This window comes from Homo sapiens, chromosome 12 (assembly GCF_000001405.40).
Source record: "Homo sapiens chromosome 12, GRCh38.p14 Primary Assembly".
Taxonomy (NCBI): domain Eukaryota; kingdom Metazoa; phylum Chordata; class Mammalia; order Primates; family Hominidae; genus Homo; species Homo sapiens.
Window position 1 is genome coordinate 92,006,917 of NC_000012.12, and position 19,080 is coordinate 92,025,996.

Consider the following 19,080-nt stretch of genomic DNA (forward strand, 5'->3'; position numbering starts at 1 on the left):
TGTTGAAAAGAAAGAAAGCCGAGGACAGGATCCTGGAGGACGCAGGTCAATAAATTGCTGAAAGAGCAGAGAAATCCATGAAGGCTCCCTGGAGGAAGAAGGAAATCCCAGAGAGCTAAAAGGTGTCAGGCACCAGAGAAGTCGATCAGACTCAGGGAAAGGAAGAGCATGGGAGGAGGCCAAGTAGAAAGGGCAGACCTACAGAACAAAGCCTGTAAAAGCAGAGTTTCAGGGTCATTGGTGGCTCCTGACAGAACAATTTGTATGGAATAAGAGTACAGTGATCCTATATTACAAGTAAATTGGGTCAGGGGTAGAAATGGCTGGTATGGAGCATTTTTTTTTTTTTTTTTTTTTTTTTTTTGGAGATGGAGTTTCATTCTTGTGGCCCAGGCTGGAGTGCAATGGCGTGATCTCGGCTCACCGCAACCTCCGCCTTCCAGGTTTAAGCAATTCTTCTGCCTCAGCCTCTCGAGTAGCTAGGATTACAGGCATGCGCCACCACACCCAGGTAATTTTTTGTATTTTTAGTAGAGATGGGGTTTCTCCATGTTGGTCCAGCTGGTCTCAAACTCCCGACCTCAGGTGATCTGCCCGCCTCAGCCTCCCAAAGTGCTGGGATTACAGGCGTGAGCCACTGCGCCTGGCCTGGAGCATCTTTTTAAGAAGTTTAGCTATGACAGGAAGGAAAGAGAGTGGCTATAGCCAGAGGGGCATGCGGAATGAAGGTGGGAACTTTTTTCATTTCTTTTTTTAAATGGTAGAGAGATTTGGGCATATTTAACGATAGTAATGAAGATAGAAAAAGAATATAACCTGGGAATACTAAGACCAGCAGAAACACAGATGTAAGAAATGAATGCTTTGGGTGGGGAGGGATACGGTTATCTGTGAGTTAAGAAAGGAGAATTTCATCAAAAGGAAGAAAGACAACCCTGGTTTCTGATGATCATATATAAAATGGCACAGTGGAAAGAACACTTTAGACTAGGAGTCTCCAGCCTTCAGTCCCAGTCCATGGCCTGTTAGGAACCAGGTCACACAGCAGGAGGTGAGCAGCAGGTGAGCACAGGAAGCTCTGTCTGTATTTACAGCTGCTTGCAATTGCCACATTACCGCCTGAGCTCCTCCTGTCAGTTCAGTGGCAGCATTAGATTCCAATAGGAGTGTGAACCCTATTGTGAGCTGCGCGTGCGAGGGGTCTAGGCTGCGCGCTCCTTGTGAGACGCACTCCTTATAAGAATCTAACGCCTGATGATCTGTCATTGTTTCCCATCACCTCCAGATGGAACCGTCTAGTTGCAGGAAAGCAAGATGTCAGGGCTCCCACTGATTCTACATTATGGTGAGTTGTATAATTATTAATATTTCATTATATATTACAATGTAATAATAATAGAAATAAAGTGCACAATAAATGTAATGTAATGTGCTTGAATCATCCCAAAACCATCTCCCACCCCGGTCCATGGAAAAACTATCTCCCATGAAACGGGTCCCTGGTGCCAAAAAGGTTGGGGGCTGCTGCTTTAGACCCTAAAAAGTCACTTACATTCAAAGTCAAATCCCAGCCTTATCTCTAACTAGCAGCGTCCCCTTTGACCAACACTTGACCTCTCTAAAACTCAGATTTTTCATCCACAAATAGTGATAAATACACCTACCTTAATGAATGAGGGGAGGATTTCAATTTCGATGATTCCCTGCTGACATCTCCTATTCTCTTCTCAGCTTGACTTTTCCCCCTAGCACCTATAACTTTCTAACATACTCAGTATTTTAGTGATTTATCTCGGTTATTATCTCTCTCTCCTAACAGAATGCAAACCAAACAAGAGTAAGAATGTTTTCCTATTTTGTTCACTGCTATATCCTCAGCGTTACAGTGCCTAGCACCTGGTAGGTTATCAATTTAAAAAAAAGTGAAATAAATAATGATTAGGATACTACAGAGCAGTTTCTCAACTTTGACACCACTGACATTTGGAGCCAGATAATTAATTTGCTTGAGGGGGTAGGGGCTGTCCTGTACCCCGTGAGATGTTTAGCAACATCCCTGGCCTCTAACCACTAGAGGCCAATGGCACCCCACCCCCAGCTGTGATGAGCAAAATTGTGCGCAGACGTTGCCAAACGTTCATGGAGGGGCAAAATCATTCAGACTTGAGAGCCTCTGCAACAGGGTAAGTACTAAAGATGGTAGCTTTTAATATTATTTTAATAGGGGAAGAAATGCAAAATCAAAGTAACATTTGATCATCAAATTCTCCCACAACCTGCTTAATTTGAGGTGGAGAAAAATACTGCTGCTGTGATGGTGTTGGCTTCACAGTAAACTGACATTTTACTTATTATTTTACCAAGAAACATGTTTAGAAGAAAACAGCTCTGTAAATCAAAAAAGTGTCTCCTAAGCTTCTTGTGTGTTAGTCGAATGTGAGAGATTTTCTTTTTTGTCACCTCTCTGAACAAACAATAATAGCAAAAGTAATCATTCCTATCCATACAGTCTTATAACATCAAAGCTAATAATGTATGGTAGATAATTCATGGGCCAACACTTTAAAAATACTAACATCTTAGCATCTATATTCTAATTAATGAAGGATTATAAGGTGCCAGAAGACACAGCTGCAGTTTTCATTTTTAGGATTATCTTTCCCTTCAAATTTTCTGTTTTTACCAGTCCATTCCTTTGCTTTAAATAGAAACCAGTGTCTTGTATTAAAATGGCTAATACTGATCTTTCAGAAACATGAGGATCTCATAAAATGGAGACTCTTCCAAAAATTGCTTTGGGGAGCATGGAAAAAAATATCAGCAATGACTTGTCTCCAACTTCTCCCTCCAAATACAGACACCACTAACTAGGGAGTAGTCATTTGATCAACAGAGAGCTCATGGTTAGGATGACCATGGTTAGGACTGGGTTTGCCTGAAACATTCCCGGTTCACGCCAGCTGTCCCAGTACACTAATTAATAGCAGCCCATTTTATTCTCAAAAATGTCTGGATTTGGACATTAAAAGTATATGGTCACCTTTTTCAGAGTTCATTAGCATTTGACTGTCCACACAAAAGAGAGGTGAGCAGAGAGGGATTTGGTGCCAACTGGCTTTTTGCTTTCCCGTCTCTGAGCCTCTGGCACATCTCAGACTTTTCTCAGCACTCTATGGCAGACCTAGCTACAAGGATAGTCCTTTCTGTAGCACAAGCTCAAAGGTAAACTATCTGCAAGTCAATAAATGAATCGGTCTTCCACCTAGCTTGTTGATCAATACATCATTTCTCCTCCACTTTCAAAAAAAGTGAAATGGAAATTAGCTTATCATGTGACAGAGTCTGGCTTGCCTTGGCCTTCCAGAAGGCATTTGGATTCAGAGAAGCCAAGTAGCGTGAGATTTGCTTGTGGATGAGGCTGGCCTCTGATTGCTGGGCCTGCTGAAAAGGCCTTCCGGACTGCAAGGTGCTAGCCAGAAGAACCCCCTGATAAAAGCCTCCTTGCCCCATAGCCTCATACTCCTCAGAGTAGAGTAGAGATGATATGTAAAGGCAGCCAACTGACCAAGAATATCCAGGCTTTTTATGAGTAAGATAAGCCTTTCTCTTTCAGGACCAAGAACACAGCTCAGGAGATTATACAAGAATCAGGAGTTAGCAACACAGCTATATGCCAGCTCAGATCAAGAGTCCAGGGGTCAGCAGTACAAAAGGGCTCTTATTCCAAAGTCAGGCCGAGGAGGAGAGAGACCAAGAACTCTAAATAGCTAAAAGGTAGTAACCTGAGATTAGACAATCCTTACTCCTTGAGCCCCACACCTTTCATTATTCAGCAGTCCCATCTGTAATATAGCTAATGTATTATTTATCATGATGATGATTTTACTGGGATTTAGCAGTCCCAACTAAGTAATATAATAATATTAGCTACTATTTATTAAGCACCAAATGTATGCATTATCTAATTTAATCTTTATAATAACTTTGCAGGCCAAGTGCACGATACATGGTTTTACCGCATACAGGTAACACGGATAACAGGGTGCTAGAAATCGTTCATGCTCTATAAACAATAATAATAGCCACTGTTATTGTATTACTCAATTGTCACCCTGTGTCTCTTTAAATACCAGAGTGAACTGCTTTCAGTTCTCTCATGTTTCGTAGTCCCTCTCATCTTAGTACCTTCACACATGTAGTTTCTTAGAACACACTCCAACCTCAAATTCCCATTTATTTATCCCTTGGCTCTCAGCATAGATGTGATTTCTTGCAGGGAATCCTCCCTGAACCTCCAAATTGAGATGAGAGGCCCCTCCTAAAACATTCACTCTCTATTTCCTGCTATCAAAGGTCTCGTTTTACTTGGTTAGAGTTGTCAGTTTATTTATCTGTAACTCCTCCTAAATTACAACCCCTTTGAAGTTAGGAACTGTGTCTCATTCCTCGTTCCCCATTTTTCCCCTTAGTAACACACACACAACACCTGATACACAGCAGTACTCAAAAAACATTCGTTGGATGATTACATGAATAAATGACCCATTTCACTCTGGTGGTGGGAACTGTGGAGGCGAATGGCATGAATAATGACACCTGACAATTAAGTAAGTACACACTTACTCAGAAGACATGTAACAGAGAGCACATGCTATTTCCATCGTCCTGTTATTTACATTACCTGTATGTGGTAAAACCATGTACCATGCACTTTGCCTGCAAAGTTATTATAAAGATTAAATTAGGTAATGCACATATTTGGTGTTTAATAAATGGTAGTTAACATTATTACATGACTTAAGCCTCACTACAATCCTGTGATGTAAGTATTGTTATCTGCCTTTTTACCATATGAGGAAACTGAGCCTCAGAGAGGCTAAAGTGATTTCATAGAAAATGGCAAAGTCACGATTCTAAATGATAACTGCCTGACTCTAAAACCCAAGCTCTTTCACTACAGCAGCCCAACTCGATGCAAAATGAACGGAAGAATGAAAGAAGGCAGGAAGGTATAAAGGCAGAAAGGAAAAAAGGAAGGAGGGAGGGAGGAAAAGAGGGAGGAATAAAAGGAAGGAGGAAATAAAACAGGAAGAAAGAAAGGAAGATCGTGATTTTTTTTTTCAACTGTACCCAACTCTAATCCTTGCAAAATTCTTCAAACAAGTATCATTGTATTGATTTTCATATAGCATTCATGCTTCAACTGTTACAGGTATGATTTGCAAGAGAACATTATAAAGACAATTAATTGACTGCTCATTGTAGCTTAAGCCTGTAATACCAGCAGTTTGGGAGGCGAAGGCAAGAGGATCACTTGAGCCCAGGAGTTCAAGACCAGCCGGAGCAACATAGTGAAACCCCGCCTCTACAAAAAATACACAAAAATTAGCCAGTTGTGGTGGCATGCACCTGTAGTCCCAGCTACCCAGGAGGCTGAGGTGGAAGGATCACCTGAGCTACAGAGGTGAAGGCTGCAGTGAGCTGTGATAGCATCACTGCACTCCAGCCTGGACGACAAAGTGAGACCCTGTCTCAAAAAATAAAAATAATCAAAACCTCCCATCTAAACGAGTGGCCACATCATTCGGCCATGATACCTCAGCTTGTAGCAACCAAAGCTCTGTCCACACTGTCCCTTCTTGCCAGTATGGCCTCAGTTGGCACATCAAGCATCCATGAGTTTTGTCCTGGTTCTGGCCTTGCTCTGGATTGTTGATGTGAGTCCTTGCGGAGGATGATGAGTCAGGATGCTTGATCAAGGACTTCAGCAAAATGAGGTTAAGGATCAATATGGAGAGTCATAAAAGTTCGCAAGGAGGTGGTGAAGGTGGCATCCCAAATTAGCTGCTTGAGCCTGGTTTACAAACAACTTTTGTCTACAGATAACAAATAGCAAAACTTCTCCTGCAAAAATAGCTAAGAAAGTGCTTCCTCATCAGTGGTATAATCCAGATAACAGAAAGACTGCACATGAGTCACATATGTTCTTTATGGAAATTTTCTTGGATGATTTCAAGATGATACATGTCATCAGATGTAGAACCATCCCAGTCAGTCTACTCAACCAAATTTCCTTTCCTTTTTTATAATTCCAACTCTTGTTTTAGATTCAGGGGGTACATGTGCAGATTTGTTGCCTGGGAATATTGTGTGATGCTGAGGTTTGGAGTACAATTGATCTCATCACCCAGGTAGTCAGCATAGTACCCAAAAGGTAGTTTTTCAACTCCTGCCCACCTTCTCCCCTCTCTTGTAGCTCCCAGTGTCCATTATTGCCATCTTTATGTCCATAAGTACCTAATGTTTAGCTCTCACTTATAAGTGAGAATATGTGGTATTTGGTTTTCTGTTTCTGTGTTCATTAGCTTAGGATGACAGCCTCCAGCTGCATCTAAGTTGCTGCAAAGGGTATGATTTTGTTTCTTTTTTATGGCTGCATAGTATCCCATGGTATATATGTGCCACATTTTCTTTATTCAATTCACTGTTGATGGGCACCTAGGTTGATTCCATGTCTTTGCTGTTGTGAATAGTGCTGTGATGAACATATGGGTGCCTATGTCTTTTGGGTACAACTATTAATTTTCATTTGGATATACATCTAGTAATGGGATTACGGGGTTGAATGGCAGTTCTATTTTAAGTTCTTTGAGAAATCTCCAAACTGCTTTCCACAGTGGCTGAACTAATTTACATTCCCACTACCAGTATATAAGTACTCCCTTTTTTCCACAGCCTCGCCAACATCTGCTGTTTTTTGATTTTTTAGTAATAGCCATTCTGACTGGTGTGAGATGGTGTCTCATTGTGGTTTTAATTTGCATTTCTCTGATAATGAGTGTTGTTGAGCATTTTTTCATGTCTGTTGGCCACTTGTATGTCTTTTTTGAAAAGTGTCCATGTCTTTTGCCCATTTTGATAGGGTTATTTATTTTTTGCTTATTGAGTTATACAAATTTCTTATAGATTCTGGATGTTACACTTTTGTCAGATATGTAGTTTACAAATATTTTCTCCCATTCTGTAGGTTGCCTGTTAACTCTGTTAATAGTTTATTTTGCTGTGCAAAAGTCATTTAGTTTAATTAGGTCACACTAGTCAGTTTTTGTTTTTGTTGCAATTGCTTTTGAGGACTTAGTCATAAATTCTTCCCCAAGGCCAATATCCAGAATGGTGTTTCCTGGATTTGCTTCTATAATTCTTTTTTTATTTTATTTATTTAATTATTTATTTGAGATGGAGTCTTGCTCTGTCGCCCAGGCTGGGGTGCAGTGGTGTGATCTCGGCTCAGTGCAAGCTCCGCCTCCCGGGTTCACGCCATTCTCCTGCCTCAGCCTCTGAAGTAGCTGGGACTGCAGGCAAGTGCCACCACGTCCAGCTAATTTTTAGAGACAGGGTTTCACCGTGTTAGCCAGGGTGGTCTCGATTTCCTGACCTCATGATCTGCCCGCCTCAGCCTCCCAAAGTGCTGGGATTACAGGTGTGAGCCACCACGCCCAGCCTAGAATTCTTATAGTTTGAGGTCTTATATTTAAATCTTTAACCTACCTTCAGTTAATTTTTGTATATGGTAAAAGGTATGGGTCCAGTTTCGTTATTTTCCATATGACTAGCCAGCTATTCCAACACTATTTATTTAATATGGAGTCCTTTCCCCATTGTTTGTTTTTGTCAACTTTGTCAAAGATCAGATGGCTGTAGGTGTGTGGCTTTATTTTTATCAGTTTCATTGTTCTATGTGTCTGTTTTTATTCCAGTAACATGCTGTTTGGGTTACTGTGGCTTTTAGCATAGTTTGAAGTCAGGTAATGTGATGCCTCCATTACCCCAGTTTTGTTTTGTTTTTGTTGTTGTTTGTTATTTGTTTGTTTTGCCTAGGATTGCTTTGGCTTTTTGGTTCCATATGAATTTCAGAATAGTTTTTTCTTTTGTTTTTTTTTTTTTGAGATGGAGTCTCGCTCTGTTGCCCAGAATAGTTTTTTCTAAGTCTGTGAAAAATTACATTGGTAGATGATGAGAATAGCACTGAATCTGTAGGTTACTTTAGGCAGTGTGGCTATCTTAATGACACTGGTTCTTCCAATCCATGAGCATGGAATGTTTTTTCATTTGTATGTGTCATTTATAATTCCTTTCCACAGTGTTTTACAGTTCTCCTTACAGAGATCTTTCACCTCCTTGGTTAGATGTATTCCTAAGCATATGTATAGCTATTGTAAATGGGATTGTGTTCTTGATTTGGCTATCAGCCTGAATGTTATTGGTGTTTAGAAATGCTACTGATTTTGTACATTGATTTTGTTTCCTAAAACTTTTTAAAAAAATTTTATTGTTATTAGACTTTAAGCTTTAGGGTACGTGTGCACAACATGCAGGTTTGTTACATATGTATACATGTGCCATGCTGGTGTGCTGCACCCATTAACTCGTCATTTAGCATTAGGTATATCTCCTAATGCTATCCCTCCCCGCTCCCCCCACCCCACAACAGTCCTCAGTGTGTGATGTTCTCCTTCCTGTGTCCATGTGTTCTCACTGTTCAATTCCCACCTATGAGTGAGAACATGTGGTGTTTGGTTTTTTGTCCTTGCGATAGTTTGCTGAGAATGATGGTTTCCATCTTCATCCATGTCCCTACAAAGGACATGAACTCATCATTTTTTATGGCTGCATAGTATTCCATGGTGTATATGTGCCACATTTTCTTAATCCAGTCTATCATTGTTGGACATTTGGGTTGGTTCCAAGTCTTTGCTATTGTGAATAGTGCCACAATAAACATACATGTGCATGTATCTTTATAGCAGCATGATTTATAATCCTTTGGGTATATACCCAGTAATGGGATGGCTGGGTCAAATGGTATTTCTAGTTCTAGATCCCTGAGGAATCGCCACACTGACTTCCACAATGGTTGAACTAGTTTACAGTCCCACCAACAGTGTAAGTATTCCTATTTCTCCACATCCTCTCCAGCACCTGTTGTTTCCCGATGTTTTAATGATCGCCATTCTAACTGGTGTGAGATGGTATCTCGTGGTTTTGATCTGCATTTCTCTGATGGCCAGTGATGATGAGCATTTTTTCATGTGTTTTTTGGCTGCATAAATGTCTTCTTTTGAGAAGTGTCTGTTCATATCCTTCACCCACTTTTTGATGGGGTTGTTTGTTTTTCTCTTGTAAATTTGTTTGAGTTCATGGTAGATTCTGGGTATTAGCCCTTTGTCAGATGAGTAGGTTGCAAAAATTTTCTCCCATTCTGTAGGTTGCCTGTTCACTCTGATGGTAGTTTCTTTTGCTGTGCAGAAGCTCTTTAGTTTAATTAGATCCCATTTGTCAATTTTGGCTTTTATTGCCATTGCTTTTGGTGTTTTAGGCATGAAGTCCTTGCCCATGCCTATGTCCTGAATGGTATTGCCTAGGTTTTCTTCTAGGGTTTTTATGGTTTTCGGTCTAACATGTAAGTCTTTAATCCATCTTGAATTAATTTTTGTATAAGATGTAAAGAAGGGATCCAGTTTCAGCTTTCTACATATGGCTAGCCAGTTTTCCCAGCACCATTTATTAAATAGGGAATCCTTTCCCCATTGCTTGTTTTTGTCAGGTTTGTCAAAGATCAGATAGTTGTAGATATGTGACATTATTTCTGAGGGCTCTGTTCTGTTCCATTGGTCTATATCTCTGTTTTGGTATGAGTACCATGCTGTTTTGGTTACTGTAGCCTTGTAGTATAGTTTGAAGTCAGGTAGCGTGATGCCTCCAGCTTTGTTCTTTTGGCTTAGGATTGACTTGGCATTGCAGGCTCTTTGTTGGTTCCATATGAACTTTAAAGTAGTTTTTTCCAATTCTGTGAAGAAAGTCATTGGTAGCTTGATGGGGATAGCATTGAATCTATAAATTACCTTGGGCAGTATGGCTATTTTCATGATATTGATTCTTCCTACCCATGAGCATGTAATGTTCTTCCTTTTGTTTGTATCCTCTTTTATTTCATTGAGCAGTGGTTTGTAGTTCTCCTTGAAGAAGTCCTTCACATCCCCTGTAAGTTGGATTCCTAGGTATTTTATTCTCTTTGAAGCATTTGTGAATGGGAGTTCACTCATGATTTGGTTCTCTGTTTGTCTGTTATTGGTGTATAAGAATGCTGTGATTTTTGCACATTGATTTTGTATCCTGAGACTTTGCTGAAGTTGCTTATCAGCTTAAGGAGATTTTGGGCTGAGACGATGGGGTTTTCTAGATATACAATCATGTCATCTGCAAACAGGGACAATTTGACTTCCTCTTTTCCTAATTGAATGCTCTTTATTTCCTTCTCCTGCCTGATTGCCCTGGCCAGAACGTCCAACATTATGTTAAATAGGAGTGGTGAGAGAGGGCATCCCTGTCTTGTGCCAGTTTTCAAAGGAAATGATTCCAGTTTTTGTCCATTCAGTATGATATTGGCTGTGTTTGTCATAGATAGCTCTTACTGAGATACATCCCATCAATACCTAATTTATTGACAGTTTTTAGCATGAAGCATTGTTGAATTTTGTCGAAGGCCTTTTCTGCATCTATTGAGATAATCATGTGGTTTTTGTCTTTGGTTCTGTTTATATGCTGGATTACGTTTACTGATTTTTGTATGTTGAACCAGCCTTGCATCCCAGGGATGAAGCCCACTTGATCATGGTGGATAAGCTTTTTGATGTGCTGCTGGATTCGGTTTGCCAGTATTTTACTGAGGATTTCTGCATCAATGTTCATCAAGGATATTTGTCTAAAGTTCTCTTTTTTTGTTGTGTCTCCACCAGGCTTTGGTATCAGGATGATGCTGGCCTCATAAAATGAGTTAGGGAGGATTCCCTCTTTTTCTATTGATTGGAATAGTTTCAGAAGGAATGGTACCAGCTGAAGTTGTTTTCCAGTTCCAGGAGCCCTTTAGCAGAGTCTTTAGGGTTCTTTAAGTATAGATTCATATTGTCAGCAAAGAGAGTTTGACTTTTTCTTTTCCTATTTAGAAGCCTTTTATTTCTTCCTCTTGCTTGATTGCTCTGGATAGGACTTCTAGTACTATGTTGAATAGGAATGGTGAGAGTGGGCATCCTTATCTTGTTCCATTTCTGAAGGGGAACACTTCCAGCTTTTGCCCAACCAATATGAAATGCACTGTGGGTTTTTCATAAATAGCTCTTATTATTTTGAGGTATGTTCCTTTGATGCCTGGTTTCTTGAGAGTTTTTATCATGAAAGAATATTGGATTTTATCAAAGGCTGTCTCTTTACCTATTGAGATGATCATATGATTTTGGTTTTTAATTCTGTTTATATGGTAAATCATGTTTAATGATTTGTGTATGTTGAACCAACCTTGCATCCCAGCAGTAAAGCCTACTTGTTCATGGTCAATTAACTTTTTGGTGTGCAGCTGGATTCAGTTTGCTAGTATTTTGTAGAGGACTTTTGTGTCTGTGTTCATCAGGATATAGGCCTCTAGTTTTCTTTATTTGTTGTATCTTTGCCAGGTTTTTGTATCAGGGTGATGCTAGCTTCGTAGAATGAGTTAGGGAGGAGTCTCTCCTCCTTGATTTTTTGGAATAGTTTCAGCGTAATTGGTACGCACTCTTCTTTGTACATCTGGTAGAATTTGGCTTGACTGCATCTGGTATGGAGCATTTTGTTGGTTGGTAGGTATTTTATTACTGGTTCGATTTCAGAACTTGATATTGGTCTGTGCAAGGTCTTGATTTTTTTCCTGATTCAATCTTGGGAGGTTGTATGTTTCCAGGAATTTACCCATTTCATCTAGATTTTCTATTTCCCTCTGAACTAATATAAACACCTTCTTCTTTTGTATTTCTGTGGGGTAGATTCAACCAAATGTCTTTCTTCATTGAACACATACTAGATGCCGTGCTCTATGCTAAACTCTAGGGTTAAATTGTGAACTAAGCAGAAATAATCCCTGCTTCATGGGACCTATTACAGGAATATATAGGTGAGTATGAACTATTATATTCCTCTTGGAGAAAAAGTCAATTAAAAATCTTTATTATATAGTGTACTGATTGTGGTAAAGAGGTCTAATTGAAATTTTAGTTATAATAACCAAAAAGTTGCCAATAATCCCCAAGAAGATAAAGCTTGCTAGGTTGATGAAGAAAAATATTTCTAAATATAGGCTGTGTCCTGTAAGACAGAATACTTTCTCATGCATTTCTTTCCAAGAAGAAAATGCGGTAACAAATCATTCTGACACTTATTGTTGCTAAACAATATCTAGGATCAGCAAAGTAAGAATACTTATTTCATTGAAGAGAATTATGAAACTTCAGGGCTGGGAAGGGGTTTTGAAATGGAATGTCATTCTCTTTGCTTTTACAGATGAGGAAACTGAGATTTTGAGAAGGCAAATGGCTTTCTTAGCATCACACAAGTAGGAACATGAGAGTTAGAAGGGGAACTTGAGTTTTCTAATTCAGTGCTCTTTCCTCCAAACCAAGCTGCAATGAGACCCTTTACTTTTTTTATGAGTACTAATTTACCAAAGAGGTAGTGATTTGCTTATAAACTCTCTCTTTCACACACACACACACACACACACACACACAATAAAATAATATGCTTTAGGCAACATATCAACTATATAGTAATCTAGCTTTCCACTACAAGTGTTACATGGCAAACAAAAAAAAATCTGTTCTTCATTAATTGAACCTCTAGAAATGGCTTTTACACAAAGCACAGTTGATTACTTAAGTTACTTCACTGTTTACTTGTGGGATTGTTTGATTTTACCCAGAAAACAGTTTAGCTTTTAAACATAAATACCCAAGTTTAACAGACCAGAACTCTTTCAAGGACTCATGATAAATATTATATTACTGTATTTGTTCTTTGGCAAGAAACATTTTTATCCAATTCCGGTACTCTCCATACTGTGGTTATTAAAGATTTACCATAGCAACTTAATTTATTTTATATACTCACATAGAATAAGCTCAGCTATAGTTGATTAAGAAAAAAAGAGAAGAAAAATAAATTTTAAGTGTAAATTTCTTCAAAAGTAAAGCAGATATATAATATGTATTATCCACATTCTAGAGCTGAGAATATTTTTAGATACCTTGAAATTTGGCATCAGCTTAACTTGAATCATCTGGCTCGAGGCAGGAACAGGAGTGAGAGATGCTGAAAAACCTACTCCACCTACCAGTGATGTACACTTCTATGGTCGATGGCTAGTGCTAGCCAGTTGTGAGATTTTAAGGCATTTAATTTTAAGGGATTTCTTTTCCTAGGCCTAAGTTTTCTCATGTAAACAATGAAAAACATGGAATAACTTGCCTGGTAAATCTCTTGCAGCAGCAGAATTCTCTGTGCCTTTTAGTTCTCATTTTTATTATTTACCCCAAAATCTAGATAAGACTCAACATATGTTCCAAGGACAGAGACATCTGTCATGACTGTAATATGCACAGCAAAAGAGGCCCCAACTAACGTCCAAAAGTACACATGAATCACACCTGTATCAGAACATGAATCGTGATTGAGAGAAAAATGGTCTAGCTGAGAACCCAAAAGTCAGATATACAGACTTCAAGTTGTTAAAAACATTAAATATGTAAATATTCCTTTTTATTTATTTTTTTACAAAATACTGTTGTCTATATAGTGATCAGATTTCCTGAATTTACATAAACAATGACATTGCAACTATGAATATGTTTCCTTACAGGGTGTGAAAGAAGAGTCATCATTCCTTCAATCTAAAAGGATTACATCAATTCAGGTAAACCATATTTTATGATATGCATTTATTACATACAATGTGATAATACTAACTCTACCCTTAACTCTAATGTGGGAAATCCCTAAAATAAAATGTCATAAGTTAACTTATATTCTTAGGCTTTACATTTTAACTGCAGAGATGGAATTCATGGTGGAAGCAATAATTGTTGCCCATAAATGAGAACAATTTACCTGAATGAGTACGGAAACACCTCTTTTAAAATCATATACTTTATAGAAAACATAACTTTCTAATAAAGTGTTAATTTTTCTTTGTACTGATTAAAGTATTGAACAACAGTTTCATAATGCAGTTCCAGAAAATGGAGTGACTGCCAATTAAAAATGTGGGAAGAGAAAGTCTCCATCTCCCTGAAGGAACATACAGAGTCCTTTTAAGATAAGTACATTTAAAGAAAATCGTTATGCACAACACTAACTTCATTGTAGGTTTTTGGCTCTCTTTCATATGACTATGTCTTTGCAGATGCCTTTAGTACCAGTGGGGAGTCTATACTGGAAATGCATTCTTCGCCACTTGGCAGAGTATTCACAGTAAATGAATATCAGAGCTAGGATTTTGTTGTTAGTTTTTTATCTGTGGCTGGCTAAAAAGACAGACTTTTACCTACAGGTTGGATTATACTAAACAAAAAGAAGGATAAGCAGATTTTCTTTTAAGGCAAGACCAAAGGAAGGAAGGAAGACCAAATCAAATTTTCATTTTGAAACAATGAACAATAGCAGACAAGTTGGTTAGCAGGGACACTACGTTTAAATATTTGTGTGTGTTTGCATGTGGGGGGGTCTGTGTGTCTCAAAATAGGAGCAGAAGGGCAGACTGAACACGTGTTCTTTCCCACCCCAATTACTCTGATATGATCAAATAAATAAATACATTCGTAACGCACTAGAAAACAAGAAAGGGTGGTGTCAACATCAAAGATGTTGAGATATTTATAAAAGATATAGAGCAGATAGGATTGAATTCTTCATAAAAAAAAAGACCAGAAAAAAACACATAGGAGAGAGAGAGTGCAGAGATGAGAGTGCTTATGGGAACTTCAGGCAGCCTTAGGAGGTCAAGGAGCAATTGTCACAGTGATTAACTGGGGCAGTGCATTTAGAGGGACTAGGCTGATCAGCCAGCCCCCCTACCTCCTGACTAAGCTGAGCAAAAGAGAGCAGGAATTGCCCTCAGGCTAAACAGATGAGCATGGGCTCTGAGACCAAAGAGATGGGACAATTCATTGTCACAAGTAGCTAGTGATACCCTTGAGACCAGCTGAAACCTCCTCCTAGCAGAATGCCCTGTCCTGTCCCCACGATCACTGCAGATAAACTCCTGTAATCCGAATCAATTTCTACTAAAATGTGAACAAGTTATTCAAATATGTATGCCAACAAAACTAAGATTCCAAGATAAAGAAAAATGTGGGATATAAGAAAGCATGATAAGAAAAAAATATATATATAGTTAAGTTTAAATCTTTTTTCTTTAATTTCAGCTTTTATTTTAGATATGAGGACGGGAGCTACATGTGTAAGATGTGTACACATAAATGTGTACATTATATGTGTACACATAAATGTGTACATTATATGTGTACACATAAATGTGTACATTATATGTGTACACATAAATGCTGATGAACTCTATAGTCAAAAACTAATTATAGTTGGAGGCATATTTTAAGAATTTAAAAGTAAAACTTCTGGTTAAACTTAATGGATTAAGTCTACATATTTACTTTATTTTATTTTAGAGTGCTACTAAAAACTTAAAAGTAAATTAAACAGGCCAGGCGTGGTGGCTCATGCCTGTAATCCCAGCACTTTAGGAGGCCAAGTCGGGCGGATCAGGAGGTCAGGAGATCAAGACCATCCTGGCTAACACGGTGAAACCCCGTCTCTACTAAAAATACAAAAAATTAGCCGGGCATGGTGGTGGGTGCCTGTAGTCCCAGCTACCCGAGAGACTGAGGCAGGAGCATGGCGTGAACCCGGAAGGTGGAGCTTGCAGCGAGCTGGGATTGCGCCACTGCACTCCAGCCTGGGCTACAGAGCAAGATTCTGTCTCAAAAAAAAAAAAAAAAAAAAAAGGAAATTAAACACGTACACAGGTATGCACACACATACAAAGAGACATTTTAAACCAATAAAAGCTAAAAGAATGGGAAAGGAAATGACAGCAAATGAAGTGTGGTAAAAAGAAAAGAAAAGAAAAAAGAAATGAAAGAATAAAGAAAGCAGCTGTGTAAGTGGTAACTGATTTGCTAAATCTGAAAAGGCTAAATTTTATGCCTGAAGAGAGGCATGCCAACAGGAAGCAAGACAATTTGTGCAAAAGAAACCCAGAATGACTTAGGAATTGGAGGCTCTGAGTATCTCTGAAGGTGAGGGTAAAGGGTAGAACTGAAGAATGAACTCTTAGAAGGAAGTTTGACTACTGTAATCCCAGCACTTTGGGAGGCTGAAGTGGGTGGATCACTTGAACTCAGGAGTTCGAGACCAGCGTGGGCAACATGGCGAACCCCCGTCTCTACCAAAAATACAAAAATTAGCCAGGCGTGGTGGCATGCGCTTGAGGTCCCAGCTACTTGGGGGGCTGAGGTAGGAGGATCACTTGAGCCAGGGAGGCAGAAGTTGCAGTGAGCCAAGATCTCACCACTGACTGTACTCCAGCCTGGGCAACAGAGCCAGATCCTGTCTCAAAAAAAAAAAAAAAAAGAAGAAGAAGAAGGAAGTCTGACTAAATAAAAAACAATCAGACCCCCAAGTGTCCTCCCTTATTCCAATATCTAGGTGATTACCTCTAACTAAGCTGAGAAGACAGAAAAGTAATGATTCTGGAGAAATTAAATCTGAGAAGCTCTGAGCTCCAGGAACAGGAAGCACAGCTAATAGATTAAATGAAATCCTATGGAAAGAACTCCCGCTAGCCGGGCATGGTGGCTCAGGCCTGTAATCTCAACACTTTGGGAGGCTGAGACGGGAAGATGTCTTGAGCCCAGGAGTTAGAGATGAGTCTGGGCAACATAGTGAGACCCCATCTCTACTAAAAATTAAAATTAAAAAAAAAAAAACGGCCAAGTATGATGGTGTGTATCTGTAGTCTCAGCTACTTGGGAGGCTGAGGTGGCAGTATTGCTTGAGCCCAAAAGGTTGAGGCTGCAGTGAGCCATGTTCATACCACTGCATTCCAGCCTAGGCAACAGATCCATGGACACATAAAAAAAAAAATGGCCTCCCAGAACCCTCCAAATTTGACGGTGGGATTATTATTCCTATTTCACCCAAGACAGGAGACTAGAGAAGTCCTCTCTGAGGAAACCATCCTGTCTAAGAGACAGAACTACTGTTGAGTTTGAATTCAGTCTGTACACACAGTCTTCTTGAATGATTTGTTTATGACCAGTGCGTTCTGAGAGTCCTGGTACCTCTCTGAATGAATGATACCTATGCCATATCAGCCTTGGGGGCCCCCAATTAATGAGTTAGTTACTAGAAAACTCAGCAGTCAATAAGACTCAGCCTCATACACAGAGCATTTGATCAGCTATTTACAGTATCATTCTTATTGTGAAGAGTCAACCAAAGATTACCAGGTATTAAAGTACGCCACCAAGATGAAAAGCAAAGACATAAATAAATAAATAAATAAATAAATAATATAACTCGGAGGGAAAAGAGATAATTCAAAGGGCAGAATAAAACTCTTAAAAAGTTACACTTTCAGGGAATGCTTACATACTATTGGTGGGAATGTAAATGAGTACAACCTTCATGAAAAACATTATAGCAATTTCTCAAATAAGTAAAATTAGTACTTTCATTCAATCCAGCAATTTCACTATTTGGTATCTACCCAAAGGGAAAACATCATTATATAAAAAACATACCTACACTCATATGTTTATCATAGCACTATTCACAACAGCAAAAATATGGAATCAACCTAAGTGTCCACCAATGGAGACTGAATGAAGTTATATATATACACACATTTTATATAAATATAAAAAATACATTTTTATATAAGTATATAAAGTATGTATTTATATATGTTTTATATATATATATATATATATATGGCATGGAATACTACTCAGCCATAAAAAAGAATAAAATTATGTCTTTTGCAGCAACGTGGATGGAACTGAAGGCCATTATCCTCAGTGAATAACTCAGAAAGTTAAATACTGCATGTTCTCACTTATAAGTGGGAGCTAAACAATGGGTACATGTGAACATACAGAGGGAAATAATAGACATTGGAGACTTCAAAAAGTGGGAGGGTAGGAGGGGGTGAGGGTTGCAAAACTACATATTGGGTACAATGTTCACTCTTTGGGTGACGGGTACACTGAAAGCCCAGACTTCACCACTTCACATACAATATATGCATGTGAGAAACTTGTACTCCCTAAATATAAATAAATAAATAAATAAATATTATAACCTCAGAGAAATATAAAAAGATATTATATCCACAAAACAAATCAAACAAGAATAAGATGCTATTTTTTAAAGAGACCATGAGAAATATATGAAAGGATTCTTTCTGATTGACCAGAATTTTTTAAGTAGGTAGAATTAGAAACATAAAGTTGTAGAAATTGCCCAGAAATTAGATCGAAATAACAGAGATGGAAAATACAACAAATGGGGGGAAAAAACACAATTATAGGATTATACACAGGAGATCAGAGATCTGAATTATTGTTTCAGAAAAAATAAATTGAGAGGAAAAATATCAATAATACAAGAAAAGGTACCACATAAATGAAAGATTATACACATTAAAACCTTCAGCATGACAGCAAATATCTCAGAGTGACTTAATGCCATACACTGAAGCATGGAGTTTGCTAGTAAAGAATTACAAATACTTACTGACCAAAGATAGTCATGAGCTCAACTGCTTTATGGTAAAATAATTAGCAATTGAGTCTTCCTGCAATTGAGGATGTAATCAGTCATGAGACCACATCATGCCAATTTTCATGACCAGTTGAGTTCAGAAACTTTGTTTCTTTGTGGTTCATAGAAGTATTACTCCTAGATAAGAAGACTACTGTCTTTCGCTTTGAGACGGGAGTCTCTTTTAGAACTCCAAACATCAAATGTTCAAGTCTGAAAGCTCATAACTGTCCAAAAGGAGTTACCCACTAAGTGACTTGAATTACGCCTAGAATTCATTTCTCTATCTGTTCAATTTTCATCCCCCATGAGAATCTTCAATAATGCTAGAGAAATATCTTCAACAACAGCAGCGTGATGACTTGCAAACATTTACTGAGT

The 19,080-nt window shown here is 38.6% G+C and overlaps 1 long non-coding RNA gene across 5 annotated transcripts in view, besides 1 other annotated feature; it reads right to left on the reverse strand.

The window, feature by feature from the left end:
- LINC01619 (long intergenic non-protein coding RNA 1619) overlaps positions 1-19,080 on the reverse strand; it is a 157,856-nt gene that overhangs the window by 21,941 nt on the left and 116,835 nt on the right. The gene's annotated exons all lie outside the window — the stretch shown is intronic.
- Positions 14,648-15,181: an enhancer, noted in NCBI's record as "NANOG hESC enhancer chr12:92415340-92415873 (GRCh37/hg19 assembly coordinates)". NCBI's record gives its function as "activates a minimal SCP1, AML or CMV promoter by ChIP-STARR-seq in naive H9 embryonic stem cells {active_cell/tissue: H9 hESC(naive)}" and the evidence as "EXISTENCE:reporter gene assay evidence [ECO:0000049][PMID:30033119]".